The 8061-nt window shown below is 40.7% G+C and overlaps 1 pseudogene; it reads left to right on the forward strand.

Annotated features, from left to right (window-relative positions):
- On the forward strand, positions 901 to 1065 carry RNU1-36P (RNA, U1 small nuclear 36, pseudogene; annotated as a pseudogene).

An 8061-nucleotide genomic window follows, 5' to 3' on the forward strand; every position in this document is an offset into this window, starting at 1 on the left:
CATGGCTGGGGAGGCCTCAGGAAACTTACAATCATGGCGGAAGGAGAAGGGGAAGCAAGGACCTTCTTCACCTGGTGGCAGGAGAGAGAAGTGAGGATGCAGGAAAAACTGCCATTCATAAAACCATCAGATCTCATGAGAATTCACTCACTATCACGAGAACAGCATGGGGGAAACTGCCTTCATAATTCAATCACCTCCCTCCCTTGACATGTGGGGATTACAACTGGAGATAAGATTTGAGTGGAGACACAGAGCTAAACTATATCAGCTACTGAAAAAAGTTGATAAATTAAAAAAAAATTAAAAATAAAAATAAAAAAAAAAGTAGACAAGGCTTAATTTTGTTGATGAAACCTATGACAGACTTCTAGACCCACCTTACTTTCAAATTCTTGGGCACTTAAAATAATTACTTAAGTAATATAAAGTGTACAGAAGCCAACAGAGAATATGTTTCTTTGCCTTAGTCCTCCAGTCCTACCCTATGTATAACGTGCCCCCAGCATATACCCTTTGTATACATAGGACTGTTGTCTTACCACAGAAACTAAGAACTAGAATTGTTGGATCAAATGGAATGCACTTTTTAAATAGTAATATATGCTGCCCAACTATCTTCCGAAAAGCCTTCACTACATTATTATAATCTCACCAAAAGCACATAGATGAGAATACCTATTGCCTATATTTATTAACACTGAATGTTATTGATCTATTGAATAAAAAGTTATCTTAATATAAAATTTCAAAAAAAAAAAAAAAATTGAAGATAAGCCACAGACTGAAAGAAAATATTTGCAAAAGACCTATCTGATAAAGGATTGTGATTCAAAATATACAAAGAACCCTTAAAGTTCAACAAGAAAATAAGCCACCCGATTGAAAAATAGGCCCAAAAGACTTACCAGGCAGGGTAGATACCATGACCACAAGGGTAGTTTTCCCTAGGGCAAGGCTTCTCTATTCCACTGAAGACTTGCTGATCCCTGTGATTTCTCCAAATGTGGGAAACTCAACTGCGTAATTTGTGGTAGCAGCATACTGCATTCATGCTTTTCCCCAGTAAATAAAAGGAAAAAATGAGCCAACAACCTGAACAGACACCTTACCAAAGAAGATATACAGATGGCAACTGAGCATATGAAAAGATGCTCCACATATATGTCAATAAGGAATTGCAAATTAAAACAACGAGATCCAATTGCCCGCCCATTTGAATGGCCAAAATCCAAAACACTGATAATGCTACTGCTGTTGAGGATGTGGAAAAAGAACTCTTATTTATTGCTGATGGGAATGCTGTAAATAATATTACAAAGACATGTGTACCTGTATATTCATTGCAGCACTATTCATAATAGCAAAGACATAGAGTCAATCTAGGTGCCCATCAATGATGGATTGGATTTTTTAAAACATGGTACTATACACTATGAAATACTATGAAGCTATGAAAAAGAATAAAATCATGTCCTGTGCAGCAACATGGATGCAGCTGGAGGCCATTAACCTAAACAAATTAACATAGTAACTGAAAGCCAAATACCACATGTTCTCACTTATAAGTGGGAGCTAACCTTTGGGTGCCCATGGATAAAGATGGCAACAATAGACAGTGGGGAATACAAGAGGAGGGAGGGAGGGAAAGGGGCAAGGGTAAAGTTGAAATAATTTTTTTAATTTTTTAAAAGGATATTTTTTGGCTCATGGAGTCCAGGGGTGGATCTAGCTTCAATTAGTTCTAACTCAGGGGTTCAAATGATGTCCTGAGAACCTAGTCTTTCTCTGTCTCTTTGATCTACTCTCTTAAAATACAGATTCCTAGGACCTAGCTGAGACATAATGAATCAGAATCCCTAGAAGTTAGACTCCAGAATCTTTATTTAAAATAAAACAAAACAAAAAAAACTTCCCAGAAGAATGTCATAAAGCTCTTATTGGTTAAATGTTTTATCCATGTATAGCAAGCTAGTTACAAGCTTCTTGCAGGCATAAACAACTTCTTTAGCATCCTAATCATATCTAAGATTGTACGAAGGGGACATAAAACAGGTACTCTGCAAAGTCTGGTAGATCTGGGAATGCTGGAAGCCTCATTCATGTTGGCATCAAAAGGTATTTGAAAAAAAATTGTGATAAGCTTTGGAAAAATCTGGGCTAGTGAAAATTGGATTTAAAGTTTTTTTAAAATACAACTATACCCAAACAGTACTAGTGAATAAACTAGAGTTGATGAAGAGAAGAGCTGCACACAGTATTTCAAAGAACTCTGTTCTTGGCCCCAATTTGTTCAAAATTCTTTTGAACTTGGATAAAAATATAGATAATAAATATCATAATCTGCATCTGACAAAACCAGGAGATGGCACACAATAAAAATGTATTTCATAATGTTCTTGAATAGCATGGCCACCCAAACATTAGTTCAATTTTAGTATTCTTCCAGTATCCACATTATAAATATTTTTTGTATCTCCATTGTTGGCGCCATTTTTCCCCTGAGCATCAACATTTTGGCTGCCAGCTTGTCTGGACTTACATCTTTAAAACTCTAAATCTGGTGGGAAGAAAAGCTTTTCTTTTCCAACAACTGGAAAAAAATTTCTGGCCTAATTTTTTTTTTTAACACAACAGGATAACATACTTGTGAAATACCATTCACAGGGGCCAAGGAGACGTGATGCTGATTGGGCAAGCCTGAGCTCCACAATCACCACTTGGGAGCTAGCAGTGGTGTCTGCCACACCTGAGACACATATAGGCTAAGAATGGCAGCAGGGGTGGGTAGGTGGGGGTGTCCCCAAGAAAACTTGCACTAGAAAACAGACTGGCTGCTGAGCTGCTAATAAGCCAGGGTCCCTGCTCTCCAGGAGCTTATGTGCCACTCACGAAGACGTCTATGTGAACAGATATTTTCAGTATAAGGTGGCAAATGTTGGAATAAAGGTTTACAGGGTAGAGAGGCATGTCAATTCATGCTGGGGGCCAAGATTGTGTCTATGGAAGGTTCCAGGGAGAGATGAAGTCTGAGTCTAGAAAAATTCCTAAGTTTTTATGGGTAGAGAAGTTGAGAATGATCTATGGATGTTTCCAGGCAGTTTAACTATAAGATTTGATCTCATTGAAGGTAGGAATCATGTCTTATCTTTGTCACTCTGGAATGCAACACAGTGACTGGCATGTAGCGGACACTCAATACATGTTTTATAAACTTATTAATATTCCTTCATTAGTCCTCAACAAAAATTCTGTGGGGGATTTATAAGATGGGTATTTAACCTCATTATCCAGAGAAGGAAATTGAGATAGAGAGATTAGGTCATCAAGATCACGGTGCCAGCCAATTATGGTGCCAAGATAACCCCACAGAGACAGGGATGTATGCAGGCCAATCCAAACCAAATCTATCATGAAGAAGGCCACAAATCCTAGCTTTATGTTATTAAAGCAGCAAAATGACAAACAAAGTAAAGTCAAAGTCTTACTGTGGTTAGCAGTTCTTCTCATAAAGCCCAAAACACCAGATTTTCTTCTAATGATTTCAGATGTCAAGTGGTAAAAATTGATTTTACAATGTTCTTGAGTAAATAAGTACTGGGGAAAAAAATGAGGAGGAAACATGTTTGTTTGGGTAAATTGCTAAGCAACACCACACATGCCAGAAACTCCTTTTGGATTTCCTCTCGAGGTGGAGACCGCGAAACCAACGGGTACTTCACTTTGTGTCTGTTTCATCAGTTCACACTGGAAAATAAAAGCCAAACAGGCAATTCTAATAATACAAGAGTCAGAGGTGTGGAGGCCACTAATATTAAATTAGACTGAACTGTTTAAGGTTGCCTTTTAAAATGGCTCCTTCCAGCGTCCACGGTGGCACTAAGACTGAGGTGAGATTTGTGCAGCGTGTCCAGGAAGATCTAGCACACTGATGAAAAAAAAAACAAACAGCAGCCAGGCCATGTTATCTATCCCACTCGGTATTTCCAGATGCTACAGATGATGGAAATTTGTAATGTGACAACAGGATTGTGGAAATGAGATGAAAAAAACTTTGTGCACGTCACTTATTTAATAATGGAAAATTTCTTATTAGAAGTAAGGTCTTCAGATGGGTATTAAAGGAAGGAATTCCGTGGGTAGGGAGAGAAATTTACAGCCTCAGGGCCTGCTTGAGCAAAAGCTGGGCACTCTAAAGGGGAGAAACAAATTAACATAAAAGCACAAAAGGGAACCTTAGTAAGCCAGAAGGAATGAATAAGTATTTGAACAGGAAATATATTAGATGGCTGGTGTTGGGTTTATGAAAATTAAGATTGAAATTAATATTGAAACTCCAAAATGTAAGATTTAGGGTGCAATGGACCAAATGCTATTTAAGTGGTATTACACAAAAATTGCTGCGAATTTTTAATGATTACATTTCTTGCAATAATTTGTAAAGAAAATTTTGGGTAAGCACACATATAACTCTGAATTATGTATGTGCAGACACATTTCCAATCAATTTGAATTCTTTTAAGGGTGAGGATATAGTTTCAGGAAGATTTCAGATTTTGTTTTAAATAGGAACTGACACTCTAGAAAGAAAAAAAAAAGGCCTATTTATGTTATCATTAACTATAGAGAGTCTGTACTCCTTAACACACATCTGAGGCTTCCTATGATCTGGCCCTACCTACCTTCCCTACCCATGCCAGCCTGGGCAATCTCTCTTCTAAATCCCCTCAAACCCTGTAAAATATAAGCTCACCTCTATGAGAGCTAGGCTTTTCCCCTATTTAATGAATTGCCGTCTCTCCTAGTATTGTGCCTGGCATATAGTAGGTGTTTAGTAAGTATTTGTTATAGAAGCCTCTAGGATTGGCATGGAGCCCTCCAGAAACTCACAGCCTAGCTGGAACAAAGACATCCACAAAAGCAATTATAATAGATGAAAATAGTTATCATAATTAAGATATAAGAGCTAAGACCACTTCTAACACTAACAAAGACATCCACAAAAGCAATTATCATAGATGAAAACAGTTATCATAATTAAGATATAAGAGCAAAGACTACTTCTAACACTATTAGCACGTACATGTCAGACGGTGTTCCACATGCTATGGTCTGGGTGTTTGTGTTCCCCCCCCATAATTCATACATTGAAATCCTAACCTTCAAAGTGATGGTATAAGGAGCTGGGGCCTCTGAGAGGTGATTACATCATGGGGCTGGAGCCCTCACAAATGGGATTAGTGCCCTTAGAGAAGCAGCTCAAGGGAGCTCTTTTGCCCCTTCTACCATAAGACACAGCTAGGAGGTGCAGTCTATGAACCAGAAAGTAGACCCTCACCAGACCACAAATCTGCTGGCAGCATGATCTTGGACCGTCCAGCTTCCAGAACTGTAAGAAATAAAGGTTCATCGTTTATAAGCCACCCACTACATGATATTTTTTATAGCAGCCCGAATGGACTAAAACACATGTATTAATTCACCTAATCCTCACAACAACCCTATGAGGTAGGCATTATCATTATCCTCATCTTTGGTGGTACAAGGAGATAAAGTGACTTTCCCAAGGTCACACAGCTAGGAAGTAGTGAGTAAATCAGAATCCAGGCAGTCTGGCTCCAGGGTCCTTACAACGAATTAGTGACTGCAGGCACAAGCATAGAGTAACCTGACTCAAAGACCACTGAATTTTCTTCTAAGTCTGGGATTCCAGATGATTGTCTCACTAGTGCTAACAGTGAAGTATAGAAATGTGGGGGAAATATTTATGAAACCTCTTCCATTTGGAACACATTGGTGCTTCTCAAACTTTGGATGCCTGAGAATCCCCTGTGAAGATTCAGAATTTCAGGACTGGAATCCGGAAGATTTTGAGTCAATAAGGTTGGAATGTGGACCCAGTATCTATATTTTTAGCAAGAGCTGCAAGTGATGCTGGAGATCTTCTGATCACAATTTGAAAACATTGTACTAGGCCTATTCTCCAGAGGACCCTTTGGCTCAGATTCTGCATTCTCTTTCCAGGCCTGGCTCTCCTCTGTTGGAATGTGTCTGTAAGAATCCTTCGACTCTGCAGTGCTGCTGGTGCTATTCAGGACATCTTCAGCTTCAGAAGTTCCTTGGATGACAGGCACCATAACCCTTAACCCACTTGGTAATCTCTCATTTTTGGTCTGTCTCCTCTTGAGGGCCAAGGCTGTATCATACTCCTCTCTACATGCCCAGACCTTAATTCAGGGCACAGGAAATGTCTTCAGAATGAACTGATGAATAGCATGAGCTAGGGCTGTGCTCCAGACCCACCAGTCTTGCCTTTGAGAAGCTCACAGTTAAGAGAAGAACATGAATATCTAAATTAATAAACTGCAGGATCAGGTAATAGGTAGCCATAATTACCTAAATATTAGCAGCATGTTATATGTGCCTAGAGAACAAATGAATAATTCATTAAGGTGGATGGATGGCATGGGATGCCATGCTAGAGGAGTACATTAAGAGCTGTTAAAGCTAAATTGTGTCCCCCCAAAAATTTCTGTGTTGAAGTCCTAACCCCCATTACCTCAGAACATGACCATACTTGGAGACAGGGTCTTTACAGAAGTAATGAAGTGAAAACAAGGTCATGAGGGTAGGCCCTAATCCAATATGATGTATAAGAATAGACAATTAGGACACAGACGCATACAGAGGGAAGAGGGAAGACGGCGTGAGGACACAAAAGCGGGGCCATCTGCAAGCCAAGGAGAGAGGCCTCAGAAGAAACCAACTCTGCCAACACCTCGTGAGAAAATACAATTTTTCTTTTCTTTTTCCTTCCTTCCTTCTTTTTTTCTTTCTTCTCTCTCTCTCTTTCTTTCTTTATGAGACAGAGTCTCACTCTGTCACTTGGAGTGCAGTGGCCCGATCTTGGCTCACTACATCCTCTGCCTCCCGGGCTCAAGCGATCCTCCCACCTCAGCGTCCCTAATAGCTGGGACCAAAGGCACACACCGCAAAGCCTGGCTAATTTTTGTATTTTTTGTAGAGACAAGGTGAGCAAATAAATTTCTGTTAAGCCACCCAGTCTCTGGTACTTTGTTATGGCAGCCCTAACAAACAAATACAGGAGCAGATTATGAGAATTTACTAAACCAAACCACAGAAATTAAATTTTATCCTTTCAGCTGCCAGAAGCCCACAGAGGTGTCTAAGCATCAACGTGACAAATAAGCAGCTTTGGTTCTGCAATATAACCTGGAAATAGTGAGGACACCGACGTGGAGAATAGAGATGGGAGTTGACAGGGATCAATTGTTCTAATGCGGAATAATGCAAGACATAAGATCAAGCCAGCAGGAGTGAGAAACAGAGATCATATCAGGGTGATATCTGTGGGGCAAAAGTAACAAGAAGATAAGGTGTAGGCGGTGGAGGGTAAACCGCGAGGCTTCCATGAAGAAGAGTGGCCTGGGAAGTGAGGAGGACAGCGAAGCCCCAAACCTCACCTTGGGATACGGGAAGTGAAGCAGGTTCCAGAGAAGGGGACAAGATAATGACTTAGGGTAGGATAAATTTCAGACAATTGCAGAGCATCACATTAGATGTGTTCAGAAGAGTGGAAATAAAGTTCTGTGCCTAGGCCCTCATGCAGGATTCTGTTGCTAGAAGTCAGTGCTGGCCGCAGGGAGACCGGAGATCACAGTGGAGGCACCAGCGATCCGAGAGTCCTATGACGAATCCCTGGGATCCCCACAATGTGTGGAGACAGAAGCCAACCAAAGAGCGAGAAAGCATCTCCAAACCAGCAGAATCAGGGGCAGGAGGCCCGCCAAATGCACAGCAAGTCAGCCTTGGTAGTTTGCAAATGGAAAGATTTCTTTGACCCGCTGGAGACTTCAGCTCAGGCTGGATGTCGCTAATTCACACCATCTCACCAAAAGGTTCTTTCCCTGCCCTTTGGTGAATCGAGGCAGAAGTGGCTGGTGGATAACTGGGACCCAAGAGTTATCTCAGCGTCGGGCAGGCATCGACAGCTCCAGGAGCCCTTTCCCTGCAGGCGGGCTGGCGGGTGAGCGATTCCCT

The sequence above is a fragment of the Homo sapiens genome, chromosome 4 (assembly GCF_000001405.40).
Source record: "Homo sapiens chromosome 4, GRCh38.p14 Primary Assembly".
NCBI lineage: Eukaryota > Metazoa > Chordata > Mammalia > Primates > Hominidae > Homo > Homo sapiens.